The sequence below is a fragment of the Homo sapiens genome, chromosome 9, assembly GCF_000001405.40.
Source record: "Homo sapiens chromosome 9, GRCh38.p14 Primary Assembly".
In the NCBI taxonomy this organism is placed as follows: Eukaryota; Metazoa; Chordata; class Mammalia; order Primates; family Hominidae; genus Homo; species Homo sapiens.
In genome coordinates, this window is record NC_000009.12 from 132,022,733 (window position 1) to 132,044,280 (window position 21,548).

Below are 21,548 nucleotides of genomic sequence, written 5' to 3' on the forward strand. Positions count from 1 at the left end.
GACTGGAGAGGCCTCAGGAAACTTATAATCATGGCAGAAGGCATAAGGGAAGCAAGGACCTTCTTCACATGGCGGCAGGAGAAAGAAGCAAGCAAAGGAGGAACTTGCCAAACGTAAAACCGTCAGATCTCATGAGCACTCACTATCATGAGAATAGCATGGGGGATCCGCCCCATGATCCAATTGCCTCCCATGAGATTCCTCCCTCAACACCTGGGGATTACAATTAGAGATGAGATTTGGGTGGGGACACACAGCCAAACCATATCAGTTGGGAAAGGGCTCCTTGAGATGTCTTAGGCCTAGTAAAAGTTGAAATCAAATGCAATGCTAGAGCCCTAATAGGCACTTGAGCATTTACTGACATACAATACTTTATTGGTTTTTCTTTCCAAACATTCATAGGTGAGGCATGGGGGAAGAACTAAATATTCCCATATAAGAAATATGACCCTGAATATTTCTCTTTTTCCCCCCCAAAAGAAAACAGATGGTTTTCAACTAAGCCATGAGTACAATGAGAACCATCACTGGACATTTCTATGTCTCAGTTCTAAACACTGAATTCTAAGCATCAGTCACTCATTGCCAAGGTATCCAGTCAATAAACTAATAAACATGATTTTTTGAAAATTGCCAATCTGATATTTTATAAACTTCTTCTTTTATGGGTAGTGTGAAAAAGGGATGGCTTCTCAGAAGAGAAAAATGAGTTTCTATGCGCCTCCTAGTCCATTTAGATTTAGCTGGAGAGTTTATTTAGCTCTTCTTTATTCCAGTGTCATGAAATGCCTGTTTCTGCTTTAAGCACCATTTTCATTATGGTCAGATGCAGCCCCATTAGCCTCCTTGGCTTCCCTCCATAAACCAACAGTCTGCTGGGAGACACCTGGCTACAAATCAGGGATTTGATCAGCCATCCCCTTACTCCCTGCTTACTGGGGATATACAGTCAGAAGAGGCAAGGAAGAAGGAAAGACAGTGAAGAGAAACTCACACGGAAGGAGACAGGAAAACAGGGAGCCATATAATCACTGACTGGAAAAAGATATATGATGATGATGTCAGAAAAACAAAAAAGTATAGGAGTGGAAGTGAGACAGCTGCTTAGTTAGGAGGCATGCAAGAACAGAAATCAGGAAATAGGAGAGAGCTCTTAAGAAGGAATTTTTTTTTATTGATCATTTTAACAACTGCATTGTCCTTTTGGGAACAGGAAGAACAAGGCGTGGTGGCTCAGGACTACGAGGAGGCAACGGGTCCAAGGAGGCACCTGCTTTCCTTTGTACTTGGCCATGAAGCAGCAAAGGCTGACACTCTGGAGGCAGTGTGGCCCAATGCACAGAAGATGGAGCCTTGCAGTGAGATGGCCCTGAGTTCAAACCCCAGCTCAACATGAGTGATTCTGGGTGTTTTTCCTCCCTTCTGAGCCACTTTCTTTATCAGCTCAATAAGAAAGGCAACGTTCAATCTTGTAAGGAGAGAGTTGTCTTTGCGTTTATTGGGCACACTCCCTAAGGCAGGCTTTAAAAGTGCCTTTTCCCTATCTCACAACAAATCCATGGGGGGCAGTATTGTTGGCCTCCTTTTACAGATGAAGAATGGTTGTTGTTGGAATTTGGCGGTATAATGTGTGCAAAAGCCTTAAGCACAGTGTCCAGCACACTGCAAACAGGCAAAAAGAGCTGTTCTTGTGATTTTCCCAAGTGCCATACCTAGAAATTCGCTTCCTCCAATAACACCAGGAATGACTGAATTTTCACAAAATTGATGAGAATGATCACCTTTTAAATCAAATCCTGTCACCCTAAGCATGTCAGATAACAAATTGATAAATGTAATGAGAAAATAGGAAAAATGTACCCACTAGGTCGTTCTAAATGAGTAGCTATATTGAGAAGGAAATCTAACTCAGAATTCTTCTCATACAACTGTGGAAGACAATCTATTACAAGACGATACCTCTTGGCATCATCAAATCCTAAGGACAATCGTCTAAGGCCTGCAGAAACAAGGTAAGTGCTCTAAATGAAAGGCAATCCCGAGGATTAGTTGGACAGCTCCTTCTAATATACTGTAGAGATTGTTCTTTTTAATCTACACACAACCTAAATGCCCAGAAAGTTGGCTCAAGCTTGACACGTGAAATAATCAGGTTAAGGAGTGCTTCTTAGGCATCTAGCAAAGCATTCGGTACTAGAAGATCAAAGTCTCTCTCCAGACTCCCACAGCACTCTATTTCTGTCGGTCTGTTTAAATTCTGATTGTGATTATCTACACACAGGAAGTATGAGAAAAGGTAATGCAGGTGGAAGCCTGTGTGTCAGGATTTTCCCACATAAATACAGGACTACGGCTTTTCCCCTTGGAAGGAAAAAAAAAAAGCTAAAGTCATACATATTAACAATGGGCATGTTTTTGGTTTAAAAGAAACAACAGATTAGAGTGAATTTTTTTTTTTTTTTGAGACAGAGTTTTGCTCTTGTTGCCCAGGCTGGAGTGCAATGGTGTGATCTCCTCTCACCGCAATCTCTGCCTCCTGGGTTCTCAAGTGATTCTCCTGGCTCAGCCTCGCGAGTTGCTGGGATTACAGGCATGCGCCACCACACCCAGCTAATTTTGTATTTTTAGTAGAGACAGGGTTCCTCCATGTTGGTAAGGCTGGTCTCGAACTCCCAACCTCAGGTGATCTGCCCGCCTCGACCTCCCAAAGTGTTGGGATTACAGGCGTGAGCCACCGCGCCCAGCCCTGAGTGAATTTTCTACTGATCAACAAGAGCTAGGCAGAGAAAGAGTTCTACTACTCTTAATCTAATTAAGAATGTGGGTTCATAGTCAACCATCTGGATATACAACAGAGGCCCTCTCCTTAACCAACTCTATGACCTTGGGAGAGTTCTTCAATTTTCTGAAGCCTTGGCTCTCTTCTACTATTGGGGATAACACTGCTACTCAATACTATCTGATTACTCTAGAAACAATCTCAGGTTTCACTGAACAAAATCATACTCTGGTTATTGGAGTTAGTGAGGGTTAAGAACATGAAAAGGGCTCAGCAAAGTGGCTGGCACAAAGCACACATTCAATAAATATTATTATGATTAGTGTTAATCGGCTGAGATTGTTGAGCCATTAACACTTAAGCTAAGTCTTAGGAGTGACTGTGTCAATAACTGGAAGAACTTGTATCTGATGAAAAAAACCTTAGAAAAGATAGACAAGTCAAAAACAAGTCTGTTCCTGTGGATTTGGGGAAGGGGAATGCACAGGAATGGCTGAGTCATAAGAGAGTTGAGCCTAATACGAGAAGGGCTACTCCAATGTGCATGTTCCCTACTCCAACTCCAATGATGCTCAGCAGCCTTACTCAAACTTTCCCAAATCTGCTGTGAAGAACAAGCCGAGCAACCAAAATGAGGAGCAGCAGCAGCCAGCTGGGAATGTCCAAGAAGGAATATTCACGCATCCATCACCAACCACGTCCATCCAGAGGAAGAGCCCAGATATGGAAAGTAGCCTGCTTTGGGACCAGGAGTGAGAAAATAAGAATAGGCAACTTGTGCAACACCTCATGTGTCCTTTTGGTCCTCAATACCCAATAAGTAGGCTGCCTTTCCCTTTAAGTACCTGGCAAGCAGGGAGCAGTGAAGAACTGAAGTTGCTCAAGCCAGACCAGAAGCCTTTCTGAAACACCTTTCCCAAGGCTGACCACTGTACATGACAGTGTGGGGGTTTTTGTGTATCTACCTTTACTCTTTTCCCAAAGTGTATTCCACAAGAGTGCCGGAACTGTCTTGTACTCCATTTTAGAAGCCTTACTGGCCTAGCAGAAGGGTCTACGTGAGCATTCAATAAAAATGTGCTGAGAATGGGATGGCCTGATGGATGCAAAGCACAGTGCTGGACATGAATGGACATACAAAGAAACCCTCTGCTTTTAGAAGGTCAAGATCTGCCTAGAATGTAAGCCCCGTAGGAGTAGATATCTCCCCTAGTCCTCACAGCTACATCCCCAGTGTCCAGAACAGTGCTTGGCCTATCAATAAAAAAAAAAATAATAACATTAGCTAATGTGTATACAGGACTCACTATGAACCAGGTGCTATTCTAATTCATTTAATTAATCTGTACAACCACCCTGTGAGGTAGGTACTATTATTATCATCTCTGTTTCACAGATGAGAAAATTGAGGCACAGACGTTAAGCGGCAGGGTCAGGACTGGTATCCGGGGAGCCTGGCTCTGGGGCCCCTGCTCTGTAACCACTACACTCAACTGCCTCTCCAGGACTTAGCAGGCTCTCAATAAGTATTTTTTAAATAAATGAGTAAATGAATACATTAGCTGGCAGGAGATAGCCTGAGGGGATGTAAGTAAACCTCAAAGTATGGTAGGAATTTGAATTCTGAATCAACGGAGTGAGGATGGTGGGGATCTAACGACTGCTCTTATTATCCAGTTAGGACTGCAGGTTACAACAAGCACAGTTGTGCTCTGGTTACCCAGGTAGTAAGGGTCCACTCTGTGAGAAAGAAGAGAACGCAGGAGCCGTGTCCACAACCAGGCCTCTTAGAGACCAGAATGCAGCCCACCGCAGCCCAACTGCTCCAGCAGCTTCCGGCCATTTGCCCTACTCAGCTTCTGGGATTCGGATTCTTCTGGGCTGCTTCTTCCAACTCCACCACAATCAACTCCTCCTGACTCGCCTCTGCTCTCTCTGGGACTCTGCCTGCTGCAGCCTGAGCAGGCACACTCGTGTGCACACACCTTTTCACCCACTCACTGCCTTCTGATGCTTCACACCCAGAACAGAGGAAGGGCCAAGAATCTGCCAGTACACAGCCATAATTCCCTAGCACAGTATAAAATGTATAAAAAGTTCTGAACATCTAAAGCCTTCTCATCGATGTAGGCGCCAAAACTCATGTGGCAGCAAAACCTGACGTGAACTGATGTGAGTCTATTTAAACCTTAATTTATCTCACTTAGTGTGAATAGTCATACATTTTGCTGCACAAAATTTGATTACAGGGTACTGCTCCAGACCCTGCTGGAGAAATTAATGGTATATGAGCCATGCTACTTTTCTATAATATAAAATGTTGTAAAATCCAAAACACATTCAGATGCCCAAAGCTTTGATAAGGAGCTGTGAACCTGTGCCAGGCCGTGGAGGGTGAGTGTACTGGGCACAGCACCCATGCTGGCTGGGACCTCATCAACTGCTGGCAGTCACCGGCCTAGGTGCCCATCTCTGATCTGAGCAACCACAGCCATAGTAGAGTCACAGGGCACACACACAGCCGGACAACCTACGTGCTCCGGCCCCAGCTCCTCCTTCCACCTGCCTCACCAGCATTCTACCACTCTGGTTGGCTTCCTTTCTGTTCCTGTTTTGAGGCCTCTTGCACTAGCTGTCCCCTCTACCTGGAACGCTCTTCACCCTGATCTTTGCATACCTGACTTCTTGTTGTGCAAGTCTCAACTTGAACTTCACCTTCTAAGAGAGCCTTTTCTGGCCGCCTAAAGGAGCTGGGGGTGCTTTCTATCACAGCAGTTTTATCTGAATCACAGTAGTAAAGCTGGCTAGGTATTACATACAGAGGGTTTGTTTCTTTAGTTTCAACTTCTCCCACTCACCTTCTCCCTGTCTCCCATACCTTAGAATACCTTAGAATATAAGCTCCATTAGGACAGAGGCTTCTTAGTCATGACTGTAGCTGCAGCACCTAGGACAGTGCTTGGCACATAGCCATGGCTGAATGAACAAATAAATTAAAAAAAAAAAAAATCCAAAGAGGTCTGTAGGCATTGCATAACTGCACAGCCAGACCTATATACCCTGCCTACACAAATGACAAGTCCCAATGCTCCCAAGTAATATGGAATTTTTATACCTTCTTTGGACTTCATGTAGTAGACAATTGGGGGAGAGGTGTCATTGGAGATACCGAACAGGGGAGTGGTATAATCAAGGACATTATAGCCTTCAAATCATTTTCAAAACACAGCCAGAGATCATCTGCAACAGAATCATCTACAGAGTGCTTGCCAAAAGTGCAGATTCCAGGGGCCCACCTCCAATCTGTGGGATCAGAACTTCTACTGAGGAACCCAGGAATTCACACTGTAACAAGCACCCCCAGGCAGCTCCAAGACGCGCTAAAATCTGAGCACAATCATAGTACACTCTCAAAATTAACATTTGCAGATTCACCGGTAGCTTCAGGAGGCCAGTCTCTTGAGACCTGGAAGCCATCAGAGATGCCACGGAGAGAAGCCTCAGACAAGTCACGGTCAACTAAGAGAAGGACACAGCTCTTGTTGGTTCACCAGAAAGATTCAGCACTGTACTTCCAGTATTGAGAGGATTCCTTCTTTCCAACTCCTATCAAAAATCTGGCCATTTCATGCATGTATTGTTGAAGAGTCAGGGAGGGAGCAGGATAGGAACAAATAGTAGAGATTGAAAGCTTTTAGAATTCTGAAACCCTACTCTAGTACCAAGTTACTTGATTAAGCAAATACAGAACATGCATTGCACAAGTCTTCAAATAGTTAAATTTTCAATCTTTATAAAAAAGAAAATCCATCAGATTTGATTGATAAGTATACTTTTTAAAACTAAGAGTAAAAAAGTAAAGATTGGCAACATTTTTTTGCCATATAATTTGCTTTCTTTGCCTTTTTCCACAGCACTGCACATAAATCAAAGAAATGTTAAAGAGGCCCATATATCACCAACTGGCATTTCAAAACTATTTACAAAGTCTTTAACAGACACAGGACAGAGTATGAAAAACCATGGCCAGGGAGGCTAAAACGAAAGGGAGAAAATTAACTCAAACACTGACAGAGAGTTAATTAAGTTTACAAATAACTCTCCAATGAGCAAATTATGATATTTAATAAGAAGGGCCTCGGTGAAGCAAGGTTACAAAATAGGGAAGGAGGTGGGGAGGAAGACAAGCCAAGAGTTTTCCAAGCAAGAATAATGTATATTTGAACAAGCTGGCTTTCTATGATTAAGCACAGAAATCTGGGAACAAGGCAGGGGAAATGATGTTTTAATAAAGTCTGAAATAGGCCTGTGAGCTGCATTTTGTATTACCCTTGCAAAAAAAAGTGTCGGTGTGTGTGGGGGCGGGGGAGGGGAGCAGAGCATGGCCCAAAAATTGCAAATCAAGGTATACAGGCTATGGTATGTGAACTGCTACTAGAGTGGCAGGAGGTAGAAAAGGGTGGAGTGACATGGGCTGGCTGTGCTTCCCACACAGAAAATGTGAGGATTTCCCAAAGGCAGAAGACAACAAACTGGTGACTTATGTCCTGGTTTTCAAAGACAGGGAGGGATGTGAAAAGGTGTTACTGGTCCATCTGTTGGAGGTGGCACAAGCCTGACCAGTGTTAGGGGATTCGGGCCTCTGCCCCCTCTTCAGGGGAGTGTGCACTGGTGCCAGAGCCACGTTGTCTCAAAGACAGCGGTGCCCCTCGTGACAGCGCTGCCTGGCTCTCCAAGGCCCTGACCCAAGGGAGTGGCTCTAAGTCTAGTGGAGTCTCTGCTTCTTTGAAAAATTCAGCTTCTAACACTGCCATCACACACCAGGTACTCTTGCCCTCAGCTATTCCGCTCCAGAAAAGCTAACTGCTGAGAGCCAAAATAGTAAGAGCACTGCTGAGAAAGAGGTTTTTAAAACCAGCGTGCACCTAAAAGAGGGGAAGAAAGGCCAGTCCTTTCTTTTCAGGAGCTTCGTGTTTTATCATTTCTCCCTCCCGCGACATAATGAAATACTAGCATCCGACGGATCTTCTTAGAAAGCATACTAGAGACCCAGAGACGTTATTACTCTATTTCAAAGCAGCAATGTGCATGTCTGCACACATTTCTTAGAATCATGTGATGAAAAGAAGACCCTTCATGAAAAATATAGACCCATTAAATCAAAATGTGCTTTTTGAAATACAAAGATGCTATAGACCTATGTGTAAAAGAAAGCAAAATGTATCAAAAACAGGAGCCAGAGGCCTTCCTGTTGAACACGGCAGAATGAAGTCATGTTCACCTGCATTCTCTCCCCAAACCACTAAAATGACAGCAAATGAATAAACTCACAGTATGAGCCTACAAGGACAAAGAGAAGAGGAGACAGCAACAGAAAGAGAGGTCAACTACATTTCAGAAGACAGGAAGTAAGTGGAACAGCACTACCTTTGCAGAGTGAAGTATACTAAACACCTACCCTGAACAGAAGGGAAGGTTGGGAGGGTGGGAGAAGTCGATTTTTAAAAAGCAAGCTGAACTGCACTGCAGAATTTCCAAAGACTGAGGAAGTGGGGACACTCGGTGGCCTGGAAGGCCAGGTGTCAAGTAGGCATAAAACAGATGGACTGGTTAAATCTTTCTTGAACACCCAGATCCCTGCTCCATCAGAAGCCAGGTGGTGTCCTCTCTGGAGAGGCTGTCCTAGAGGCTCAGGGTTTAGGGACAGCTGAAAACAGGTGGATAAATCTGCACACTAAATGGTGAGCTACCCTCTACCTCAGCCTTCACCAACAGAAATAGCAATCACAGTATCCTACATGTCTCCACTATAAAAAACATTTCATAGTCATAATAATGTAAAAACCAAGTATCAATTAAAGCAATGCAGTGGGAAGATGGTGGTCTATAAAAGTTAAATCTTCATCTTCCATGGCAGAGGCAACAGATAACTTCTAAAACAGCAGTCTAAGCAGGTTATTTAGGAAAATGTGGGCAAGTATCCAAGGAAAGAGCTAAAAGAGTTAAGAGAAGCCAGGTATGGTGGGGCACACCTGAGTCCCAGCTATTCAGAGAGGTTGAAGTGGGAGATCACTTGAGCCCAGGAGTTACAGTCCAGCCTGACCCCTCCTCTAAAAAAAATAAACAATGAAATACAGACTTAAAAGGAGTTGCCTCTGAGGAGTGGCATAGCAGAGTTGGGCAAGACCAACACATCTGGTATAAATCTTGTAGTATTATTTATTTGCCTTTTAAACTACGTACTTATGTTCCTTGGATGAAAATAAAAACTATACCAGGAAAAAAAAAACAGGGCCTCAAAGTTAAACAGATCCTGAAAATGGAAGCCCCTACACACTACAAAATGTGCTTTATCACCTGGTGACTATTAGTTTACTATAGTAACACTTAATTTTATTTCAAGTTTTACTGCCACAGTTAAAGGTTTTTACAATAGCAGATGCCTTCCCTCCCACACATCAATTAATTTGCAAATTCACTCAAGGTTGTAGAAATAATGAGGTGTGGAGAGAGTTCGTTCCACTGGTGGGCACTGCCATCAGAAGGTGGATGTGGTAGGCGAGGCGCTAAGCTTGGCCGCTGCTAGCTGCATGCCATGGGAGCCTGGGCACGGGGGACGGCTCTGCCACAAGCCCACGAGCCGAGCCCACCTTGGCTGCAAATAAAGATAAAGAACGTAATGCCAACCACCTTGAAAGCTGAAAAACCATAGAAAAATTAGACAGGCAAGGCATTTTAAGTCTCATGAAATAAAATCATGTTTTTAGGCTCCTTTTTATAGGTTCTTATTTGGTGTTTACCGAGAAAGTGAACTTTTTGAGAAGAAATGATGTGGCACTCTGAATGCAACTCTGGTCTGTACTTTGGCAAAACCACCTGTCAAGCCCACACATTTGATTTTTTTTTCTTCTTTCTGAAAGAGCTGAAGTAAACCACTGTTGTTTCAAAACACAGGGGTTGAAAATAGTTACACAGTTTCTGCTCTGCCAAAGAACTGTCTCTTTTCTCATTTTCACTTAAATCTTGTTCTTTAATGACCTAAATGATAAGAGGAACAAGAAGACACATTTTCATTTGCACCTAAGCAAATAGGATTGTAACAGAATGTGTTCGTTCCCAAATGTAGCTCTTAACTAACTTGAGGGGTTGACAGGTCCCAGGAGGCAGAGCCAGTCAGGAAGGAATGCAGAATGCCACAGATCACCAGGGCCCACTTCCTGCTTCCACTGGCTTTAAGTGATGGCTCTTGTCACCTAGCCACTCTCTTGGCCTCCCCTGCCCCTCCCTCTCACAGCCCTGCGCCCAAGCCACTCTTCTCATGGGGATCACCTAGTCCCGCGCTCCACACTAAGCCTCTCTCTAGGTCTATAATAAATTGTCTGAGTGTGAATAAGCATTTCAAAAGGCTTCCTGCTTTGAGAATTCACCTTTCCAACAAATTTAATAGGTGTCTACAACAGCCTGACAGGTAGCAACATTTTTTCTTATCCACAATTGGTCTGAACCAAAAGTAAAATATCACTCAAATATTTTTCCTACCCCGCCAGCTAAAAGCAGCCCCATACATGCTGTTTGTGTCTCTAAACATATCACTCTATTAAGAACGCCTGTCATAGTCTCTGGATTTTGAGGACAATAATTTTCTTTACACAATTATGAAGGCAATCCAAAGCTCCCCTGACATTTTCTGACCTGGTATTGTCTGTAAAGGGCACAGGTTAACAATGTTTAAGAAAAGATCACATACAATATATAAATCACGAAGCTTCCTGGGACATTGTATGGTCCGAGGCTTCGGATTCAATACCACATTACCAAGAAAGAAACTGCTTTTCTTTTCACTTACACTCCATACTGGGCTCAAAAAGCACCATTAAAATGCCAACAAAGGCATTTTTGGATCTACAATCATTTGACATTTTTTTCTAAGAAAATTTAAATTTGAAAAACTTTGGTAAATTTAGAGTCTTGTGAAGTACCACCCGCCTCCCCTTTCACTCCCCTAAAAAGGGCAAGAAAATTCATCATCAAAGGTTACCTCTCCATCGAATGTCATCAGAGTGTGGTATTTCAGCACATACATTTGTGTATATAAACTTCCAACTGTTCTGAGATCTCTGCCATTATTGGCATAACTGGATGAGTTAATAACGGAATGCTGCCTTCCTAAACTCCGGTGTGGATTTGGGCTTTTTGTTTTTGCTTTTGTCAGTGTAACTTAGATCTTTGGTGTTCTGTGTGTCTCCAGATTCTATTTCGCATAAAGGTAAGAGGAAGCCACTTTCTTTCCTTTCTCCACCTCCCTAACACAAGAATCCAAGGACATTCATAACTTGGTTATTAAAAATACACTATTTGTATTTTGAAAGTTCAACCATAATGTATTCCCTTCTTTAAAAATTTTATAGTATCTACACTTTCAATTTGAGATTTTTCATTCATGCCAGGTGAGGCTCTTATGTTCTGTATTAAATGCGAGGCATGTGTGATCAGTACTATTAATAATATAACAGTGCCAATCTCAGAAGCAGCAACACAGCACCAATACAGCCCCGTATGAATAGATGAGGAGTCATGAGTACCGCTGCAATCTTTATTAAACATATGGGAATAAAGAATGTGGCTTACTGCTCTCCCCCTCCCCCAGCTCAAGAATCAAGAGGAATTTTTCCTCTCTTCCCCAAAGGCATAACATATCATTAGGTCTCATAAATATAAACAGATCTGAAGCAGAAAACAAGTGATTACCTTTATTAGATTCAAGGGAGCAAAGAAAGAGGAGTTTAAAAGTGTCCATGGACAAATAAAGATCATAAATTCATCAAAGTATGTCAGACTCAAGGACTGAGGGTCACTAAAGTCACCTACTATCACAATAAGACAAACTCCAGTCCTCACGTCTCCAAGAACTACAACCCTAACAAAGCCTGCCCTTCGCTTTGATGCTATTGCAGCGCTCTGTCCAAGGTCAAAGGGCAACTTAAGAAATGTTCTGGAAAGATGTCTGCAGAAGAATCACAAGGTACATCTCACTTTTAGGTCGAAAGGTAGCTAAAACTGAGCACGTGATCAAGAATGGAACCTCAGCGCGATAGCTTGGGTTTCTGACACGGTACCAGAAAGCCACGCCCTCCTGTCTCCTCAGCAATCTCATGTAATTCAGGGACAGCCCCTTCCCTGGCACCCAGGGGGTTCAGGAAGAGCACCAGACTATGCACTGACTGTGGCCTTCACCTTCTCGACTGGCTATGAGCACAGGTCAAACAGAAAGAAACTCAAGGTTAGGGGGATGTGACATGTAGGTCTTCATTATAAAACATCAAATTGTTACGTGTAAAAAGTGGGGAGCATTTGTGCTGAGACTTCAACTCTTAAAACTATCTGTGAAAGTGGCCTAGTTTATTCACCGAGTACCATAATCAGTTCACCGGACCATACATATGTATGTGCACACAAACAGACACCCCCCTCAAATGAGTAGTATGTAAACGGAAAAGACCAATCAAGACTCCCAGGCTACGTAACTTTTGAAACGGTAACAATAGCCTCCAAGTGTTCACTGTGGGGCAGGCATTAAATCCTTGCAATGCAATAAAGGGGAAGGTGTTCCTACAACCCACACCACCAATCAGGAAGGAGGCTTAGAGAAGCTGTCATTTGCCCAAAGTCACACAGCTGATCCCAGGTCCAAATGAGCCCAATACCTGCAGGTTGAATTACAAAGCTAACTTGTCTAGCCAAACAGCATTTCATTCATTCAATAATGAATAATGAATATTAATACATCCTGAGTCAAATGTGCCTGGCACTGCTCTAAGGACAGTACTGGGAATAAGCAACAAACAAAACAGACAGACATCCATGCTTGTGGAGAGTACACTCTAGAGGAGAGATAGGACAGACAATAAACAAAGGAATAGGTACAACATGCAGGATGTTCAGTGACAAAAAGGAGGACCATGAAAAACGCACAGGGAAGCAGATGGGGGGTGGTGACGAGAGGGCCGCAATAGTAAATAGTGTGGTAAAGGAAGGCTTTCCTGCGAAGGGACCACTTGAGCTGAAACCCGAAGGATGCAAATGCATCTTAGAGGCAATCAAGGAAACCGTCTGACAGAGGGGAAAAAATGCAAATGATCATCTCGACAGTGAAAACTCCAAGGCCTGGTCAGCCATGGTGGCTCATGCCTGTCACCCCGGCACTTTTGGAGGCCAAGGCAGGAGAATTGCTTGAGCCCAAGGGTTCAAGACCAGCCTAGGCAACATAGCAAGACCCCATCTCTACCAAAAAATTTTTAAAATTAGCTGGGCATGATGGCAGACACCTTTAGTCCCAGCTACTTGGGAGGCTGAGATGGAAGGATCACTTGAGCCCAGGAAGTGGAGGCTGCAGTGAGCTCTGATCACACCACTGCACCCCCAGCCTGGGCAATAGAGCAAGACCCTGTCTCTAAAAAACACAAAAACACAAAAAAAACCCCAAGACCACAGAGAATGGGGCCTTTGTATGACTCAATCCCATTCTGGTGCTGGGTTGTTTAAAGCAGAGAAACAGACATTTTAGAAACATGAAAAAGCAAGAAAACAAAAATATTCCCTGGCTAACGTTTATTAAGTAGGAACATCTCTTTCTCCTAACCATTTTGATAGACTCAGAATGCAGGTCTTTTGGTTTATATGTATTACTGTTTTGTTTTTTTGTTTTTATAGTCAGGGTCTCTCTCTGTTGCCCATGCTGGAGTGCAGTGGTGAGATCACAGCTCACTGCAGCCTTTAACTCCTGGGCTCAAGCTATCCTCCCGCCTCAGCCTCCTGAGTAGCTGGGACCACAGGTACATATTACCACACCCAGCTAATTGTTTCTATTTTCTTGTAGAGAGGTCTACTATGTTGCACAGACTGGTCTCAAACTCCTGGCCTCAAGACATCCTCCCACCTTGGCCTCCCAAAGTACTGGGATTACATGTGTGAGCCACTGCGTCTGGCCGTTAACTGTTTTCTGTCTGTCTTGGTCATTCATATGTCACTCGTGCCGGCATGCGCTGCTTCTTAAGAAGAGCTGAGAAAAGAGCATGGCTCTACCACTTACCACCTGGATGATTTGGGCAAGTGATTTAACCTCTCTTTATCTCAGTCTCCTCACGTGTAAAACAGAAGTTATACTATGCATACGTTTCATAGGGTTGTCTGTGAAAACACATTTATTACAGAAACATGACTCAGTCTATTTCCAGGTACAGTGTTAGGTGCTAATAAAGCTTGGAACCTCAAAGAGGTTACAGCCTGTAAGTATTGACAGACATTAAATAGGTAACCCCCTACACTAAAAATGAATGACCTTTGTGTCAAATGCCACAAAGGAAAGTCATAGGTGCTGAAAGCCTATGCCAGAAGGACAGTCCAGGCCGAAGGAACAACATGTAAAAGCAGAGGCACTGCCTGTAAAATTTGTGACCGTGTAAAGTGACAGCAACGGAGAGAAAGACAGACAGCCCAAAGAGCAGAGCAAGGAGAGCTTGGCATGTTAAAGAAAATGAAAGAAGCTGTGGGTGGAAGACGAAATGTTGAAGCACTGCGCTGGGCACAGGTGAACGCTCAGCAAAGGATGGCAGTAACAACAGATGCTGCTGCTAGGACTGAGGAGCGCGCCACACACAATCACGCTCACAGACCCCTCCGTTTATCACAGAGAACAGTAAGCTGAAGTCACAACGCGAATAAACACGCTTGAAGTGTAATCCTAATCCATGAGCTTACTATATTTACGGTTACTATACACTGGTATCTTTCTCAAACAACTTTCTGATTTAATGCTCCCTATCAGGATGAAAGCATGGACAGTAATAGTCGCATATGGTGGTTTTCAAGCCCATGGTTCAGTCAGATACCTAGGTACTAGTTCATTCAGCCACAGTGACTGCCCAACGCGCCTACACAACAGAAGAGTAATCTAGGCTTTTAAAACGGTGATTCTAACAGTTGAAAGACTAGTTACTGGCATACAAAACAAACAGTAAGCCATTGAAATCCTTGGAGCGGTTGGTAATTCATATTTCAAAATCTAAAGCTTGGATGGTAAAGAGAACAGATGGCTGTGCAATATGCAAACAAATCCACAGCAACAATGGGCTTGGGCTGGCTTCGGTGGCAATGACAGAAAACCGGAGCTACCCTGCTGGTGATGGGAAATGACAATGGCATTGCAAAGAGGCTCTGGAAACATCACCAAATGAAAGTGGGCAAAACAGTCAGGCTTTCACCGGGCAGCTGTAGACTGGGAAAAGTGCTGTGTTTCTGACACATGAGCTTTGGCTGACACACAACATGTCCCGACCCCAGACAGGAGCTGCACCTAGATCTCTAGATCTAGCAATGCAGGATATGTCATCTGCCTCCCCAACACCAGCTGAATTCTGCCTGCCCCACGAATCTCACATCCTAGGGTGCGTGAGGGTGGATTTGTGATGCATTGACGCAACCAATATGCAAGGAATCAACAGAAGTTACAATTGGGAGGGTGTATGTCATCTACAGCAGTACAAGCTGCTATTCTACTTTTTTTTTTTAAGGCCCCAAAGAGAAAGCAGCTTCACCAAGGCTACACTCTCATTCATTCATTCATTCATTCAGCAAATATTTATGGGCCAATCGCTAAAATGTGCCAGGCATCCTTCTTTTTTTTTTTTTTTTTTTTTGAGACGGAGTCTCGCTCTGTCGCCCAGGCTGGAGTGCAGTGGCGGGATCTCGGCTCACTGCAAGCTCCGCCTCCCGGGTTCACGCCATTCTCCTGCCTCAGCCTCCCAAGTAGCTGGGACTACAGGCGCCCGCCACTACGCCCGGCTAATTTTTTTGTATTTTTAGTAGAGACGGGGTTTCACCGTTTTAGCCGGGATGGTCTCGATCTCCTGACCTCGTGATCCGCCCGCCTCGGCCTCCCAAAGTGCTGGGATTACAGGCGTGAGCCACCGCGCCCGGCCGCCAGGCATCCTTCTAAGCACTCGAGAAATATCACTGAAATAAACAAAGGCTACTTCCCAGTAAGCACTCTTTTTAAAGTAAAATATACAGTATATTAGAAGATAGAACATGTTATGGTTTTTCAAATGTGCAGGGCATGGGAGTGGGCTGCAATGTTAAATGTGGTGCTTACTGAGAAGATGACACCTGCAATGTGATCTGAAAATGAGAATCTAGGTATTTGGCATATTTGGGGGCAGAAGAGTCAGCACAGAAGCTCTAAGGTGGAGATGGGAGTGTGCCTGGAATGGCTTTGAATCAGCAGGAGACAGGGAAGAAGGAAGGAGCTGAGGTGGGTGAGGGCGGCCATTGTAAGCTTTCCTCTGGATAAGATGGGTGCCGTGGCAGGGCTTCGAACGGAGTGACAGGACCTAACTGTCCTTGCTAAATGACACTCTGCCTGCTGGTAGAGAACAGGCAGCAGAGCGGAGAAGCCAGCCAGTCCATGGCAGGGCTACGACAAGAACATGGAGGTCAACCTGGTTTCATTATGGCTTCAAATGCAATTAAACACTATGATTTTGGTCTCTTTGCCTTGAACCTGGACTTCAAAATTGCAAGGAATTCCATAAACCAAAATGACTCCCAATGGAATAAAGAGTTAACGATTTCTAGATGGAGAAGTTCTCAAGCTTGAAAGCAAAGAAACCACAAAGAACACTATTAAGAGATTTGCCGTACAGTTTAACTTTATCATCAAACCTGTCACTTACCACGTGAGTGCTATGTGTCGGGCACTCTGCTGAGAGGCGGGAGAACTCAGGGGCTAGTGAAGAGGAAGCTGTGTAACTGAAGCTCTGTGCACCTCAGTTTCCTCAGCTCTCAAGTGAGAACGATAATAATAATAGTACACACGCCTCCAGGCTCTTGTGGGGACTAGATGTGTTAATTCACGCAAAGTACCTAGCATGGTGCCCCGCACATGGCAAGTGCTCAATAAGTGCCGGCCATTGTCATTATGAGTCGTAACAGTGCAGCTCCAGTACTGACTCCATCCCGAGGTACTGAGCGAAAAGAAGGTTGGGTCTCACAAGTGGCCACTGAGCTAAATTCACCGCCAGTCTGTCTGCCATCAAAGGCCACACTGGATCCAAGGTACACTTCAAGGAGGGGAACCCTACTTCAAAGGAGAGTGAGTGAACACCCTGTGTCCCAAGGACGAGTGGAAGAGGACCCAGGAAGCCAGAGTCCACCTGCTTGGCAATCCCTCCTACCCCTTAACCGCCACTGTGTGCTCCGTTCAGTGCTGGCCCTGGGGAGAAAAAGACACTCAAGACAGGGTCCTGCCTCTAGGAGTTTCACTGGCTACAAAGGACACCACTCGCCTCTGTGACTGCAGGTCCCTCCCTTATAAAAGATAGTACTTCTGTGGCCTCTCTGCTAATTCTGAAATTTCATGATTCCAAGCTTTGTTTTGTTGTCTTGTTTCATAAGACCATAGAAGGGTGAAAAGTATCAATAAAAAAGTGGGACATTTTGATAAAGAGAAAATACACAATATTCCCCTTTCACATACACTTTACGATATGATAAATTTCACTCATACCACTACACCAATATCAGCTCCTTATACATCACTTTTCAAAATGCTGTCAGCTACAAATTGATGACCTGTGAGATTTCACCTTGTCGTGCTCAGCATCAGTCCCCGCATATGGGCTGCCCAGCACTAAACAAAGCTGCTGCCAGCCACCAGGGGCCTCAGTCTCTTCCCTGCGGCGGGGAAATGAATTATTAAAAGATTAAAAAGCAAATGCCATCACCTTTTTGCTTTATTTCCCTGTGGGAGAATACTTTAAACCAAACTAGGTAAGAAACCGCATGGCAGGTTGCTTAAGAGCAGCCATTTATACACAGAGAAATCTAAGTTGGGATGAGAGGTGGGGCCGTGGAGAGCGGCTGGCTGGTCTTAGGCGGCTCCACATGCAGAGAAGGCATCACCTGACGAGAGACTGCCCGTACAAATGTCACGAGAAAGCTATAAATAGGGCTTTAGATCTATACATTGGGCAAAAGTGTGGTGTGGAAAACAAATACTAAGGCAGCATGTTTACTTTTAGCTGGGAGCAGACGGCAGAGCTTAACTACACCCAGACCTTCCAGCCCATCAGGCTTCAATCTGGTCAAGGACATGAAGGTCCCAGCAAGGAGCACTCAAGGTGACAAAGTGCTCGGCTCCACCAGCACATCTCTGTTTCTGCCGGTACGCCCTGTGCACGTGCACACACACCGCACACTCAAGCACCAGCACACACGGCAGGATATTCTAGGAAGGCCCAGGCAACGGTTTGATTTCCTCCCATATGCTTTGTCAAACAACTAGGTGCTTCCATCATTTTCCCTCATGTTGAGATTAGGGGAGGGGAGGGGGCCACAGCCTGGTTCCAAAGAGTTAAGCTGCACTCGCAGCCAGGACCCAGAGCCACTGCCATCTCACCACTCCAGAGGCAAGGCGTACAATTTATCTGGAAGCAGTGCAACACAGCAGCCCTGCTGGCAGCTGTCATCAGACCACACCACGGGCAGCAGAGAAGAAGAGCAGAAGGGAAGAACAAGAAAGAGGAAATAAAGTAAAGAGGGGTAGAGAGAAGAAACAAAAAGAGCAAAGGGAAAAAGAGGGTTGTCAACAACTGCCTCTGTGTCCCTCAGCACCTAATGTGGGCTGTGAGGGAGACGACAAGCTCGCTAACAGAGCAGAGAGGATGGCAGTGAGGGTCCAAAGTGGGAGAGTAGACAGTCATGCTGAGAGCCCAGACTTGAGTGGACTGAACTGAGCACGCACACACGACTAAAGAGTCTGCATATTTTCATGGCTCACACATCCACTCTCACACCATCAGCTCTGTGATTTGGGTGCAAGGAAACATTCTGTAGACACCAAGCTTTGGGAAGAACCAGGTATGGCATGTAGGGGTAGCACCAAATGAACATTTAACATAGGGGACTGCAGTTCTGCCAGACAGTAACCATCATGCTACCGACTGCAGCGTCCACAGAGCTCAGTCGCTCCCCATCTTCCTGTCGGGCACTGCAAGCACAGCCTCACACGGCGTCAGAAGGCCTGCAGTGCCCATGTGTGTTGTGACAAAGCTCGACTGAAAGATGGACAGTCACAGGATGTATGGAACAAAATGAAAGAGATTACTTTTTAAATTTTTAAATAGTCAAATAGTCAGTGTGCTGAAAAATTTGTTCTTAAGGGCCAAAGTCCAAATCAGTACGGTATGGCAAAGAAGAAAAGGGAGAAGCAATTACGTGCAAACACGTTCGTGGGGCCTGGCCTACGGTGGCAGCTGCCGCTGACTTTCTTCTTCTCAAGAATGCAAATGATTAAGATAGATTAAATACCTACTTTGCTTAAATACTCTTGATAATGAGTTTCTTTCCTTCTTTTAAGGGTGTTTGATGTTGGCAGTTGATGGATCTTGAGTTAAATTGTTTTAATTCAAAACAGGACCATCTGTTGTTAGGATCTGCCGGCACTGCAGAGAACCAGGGGAGGTGACAAAGTACGTGATCTAGAGATATGTGGAGACAGGCAGGTGGCGGGGTGGAAAGAGCACGGCACGGGAAGCACAGACGCTGCCAGTCTTGTCCCAGCTGGGCTGCTGAGTGGCCACAGGATCTGGGACTCAGTTTCTTCCTCTACAAATGAAGAGGCTGGCTTAAGGATGACAAAGATGATGGTGACGGCCATCACTACCGGCAGCTACAGTTATTAACCCATGCTGTGTGCCAGGCACGGAGAAAAGGCTTTCACTGAAACAGTCTCATGGACACCCTATTTATACATTGTATAAACTCTTTATGCTCGAAAGTGTGTATACTGATGTTGCCCCCATTTTACAGATGAGAAAACAGGCTTCACGAGGTAAAGTCACTTGCTGCAGGTCACAAGGCAAAAAGGAAGTGCCAAGAGGTATGAGACTTCAACGTCTGCACTCATAACCACAATGCCATACTGCCCAGGGACCTCTGGGACTGAAGATCCCACAATTCCTGCCCCTCCTTTATCCACAGTCTAGTGGCCACAATCTGCATTCACCGTGAGTCAGCACTGAAGGAAATGCCAAGAAGAACACTAAGCATTTCTGATGCTGGAATCTTAGATCTATGAGTGGACCCTGCTGCACACACCACCATTGCAAGTTAGATCTTATTTCACTGGGCTTCACTTTTAATCCACATCTGTGACCTGAATGTTGATGTGAGTTATAAAAATTAGCAAAAACTGAACTAGAGCCAGTGGAAAATCCCCAGCATTTGACTTTTTGAAAGGCTAGCCATCTTTCAAGATAGGTTTATTCATTTGGAACCATGGTATTGATTGTATAAAAGAGGTGATCACGTACCAATTAATCATGTGTACATTACCTTTGCCAACTCTAGCTATGGGAACAAATTAGAGAGGTCAATACACAGATATCCCATAGACCATAGGTACTTTTGTTTTTGAGGGACAAGGTAAGTTTTCTAGTAACATCTGGAGTAGGCAAATGTAAAACTCTCAGTAATAAGAGCACTGCTTCCCCAAAATTTAAATGACTCTTCAGAAAAAATCTATATAGTTAAAACCAATAAAGTTAAATCTATATAGGGTGAGGGTCAAAAAAACCACAATACTATCAACACAATGAGGAGGTATTACAGTGTTTCAAAACGGAAAGAAAAAGTAACACTTATACTAGAAGTCCAAGATTTGGGTGCTAGCATCACAGTTATTTTCACTGCCAGACCCTGAGCAACTTACTTGACCTTTTAAGGCTTCTATTTTTTTTTTTTCTTAAAAAAAAAAAAAGGAATAAAGATGTCTGTCTTCAGGAAATAATAAACTCAAAATTCAGTTAGGTGGGGTACATTGGAGGAACTAGAAGGAGAGAGGGAGAATGAGGAGGGGCTCATAACACACGCACAGGAACTGCTGCCTGCTCTGTTTCATAAGCTGGGAGCAGGTACATGAGCATTTATTATACATCTGCATTTCACATATATGATATATATAGTTTCATACATAAAATCTTTTGTAATTTAAAAAAGAAAAAACCCTTCTAATTCCACTATTACAGAGATAAAATGAAAATATATGCTTCAGAAAAGAGTAAACTGAAAAAAATAATTTTCAATTAAAACTCACATTAACTGATTTAATAAGGAATTCCTAATGGTAATGGAATTTATGATCCAGGAAAAAGGTTCTTAGGGCAAAAGAACCAAAGCTCTACAGTATAGTAGAGGTGGAAGGAGCGTGGATATCAATAAGAAAAAAATGCCACACCAAGCAATGCAGAAAGGGCAATGGCATGAACTTACAATGTGCAAAAGATGACATGCAGGTCCCACCTTCCTTCAGGGCAACTGGCAAAGACTGTCTTCTCATCTCCATACCCAGTGCTGACAAACCGTGAAGGGAAATGAGACTCATACACCGTAGTCAACTGTGTCAACTGGCAGGGATGTCTTCTTGCTGATCTTTGCTATATTCTCCAAAATTTATATAATAAATGTGTTACTTTGATAATTTGAGATGTTTTTTAAAGTCCCTCATGAGATAACAAAGGAAAAGAGAAAAAAAGTCACAGAGGGACAAAGGGTAGATGGGAAAGAAATAGGGAGGGGAGGAGGGAAGGGAGAAGTACTCTGAAGTTTGGGGGCAGACACAAGCCTGGCTCCACTGCCTGGTGGCTGAGGGACCTGACATGGGCCACCTAACTCTCTAGACTGTTTTCTCCTCATTAAAGGAGGAACAATA

The 21,548-nt window shown here is 44.1% G+C and overlaps 1 protein-coding gene across 5 annotated transcripts in view, besides 3 other annotated features; it reads right to left on the reverse strand.

Moving 5' to 3' along the window:
* The window catches only part of MED27 (mediator complex subunit 27), a 219,756-nt gene that overhangs the window by 162,621 nt on the left and 35,587 nt on the right, over window positions 1-21,548 (reverse strand). The gene's annotated exons all lie outside the window — the stretch shown is intronic.
* Window positions 17,570-18,071: an enhancer, noted in NCBI's record as "H3K4me1 hESC enhancer chr9:134915689-134916190 (GRCh37/hg19 assembly coordinates)". NCBI's record gives its function as "activates a minimal SCP1, AML or CMV promoter by ChIP-STARR-seq in naive H9 embryonic stem cells {active_cell/tissue: H9 hESC(naive)}" and the evidence as "EXISTENCE:reporter gene assay evidence [ECO:0000049][PMID:30033119]".
* Window positions 18,072-18,571: an enhancer, noted in NCBI's record as "H3K4me1 hESC enhancer chr9:134916191-134916690 (GRCh37/hg19 assembly coordinates)". NCBI's record gives its function as "activates a minimal SCP1, AML or CMV promoter by ChIP-STARR-seq in naive H9 embryonic stem cells {active_cell/tissue: H9 hESC(naive)}" and the evidence as "EXISTENCE:reporter gene assay evidence [ECO:0000049][PMID:30033119]".
* Window positions 19,054-20,253: an enhancer, noted in NCBI's record as "CDK7 strongly-dependent group 2 enhancer chr9:134917173-134918372 (GRCh37/hg19 assembly coordinates)". NCBI's record gives its function as "activates an origin of replication core promoter dependent on BRD2, BRD4, P300/CBP, MED14 and CDK7 cofactors, with strong dependence on CDK7, by STARR-seq in HCT116 cells {active_cell/tissue: HCT116}" and the evidence as "EXISTENCE:reporter gene assay evidence [ECO:0000049][PMID:35650434]".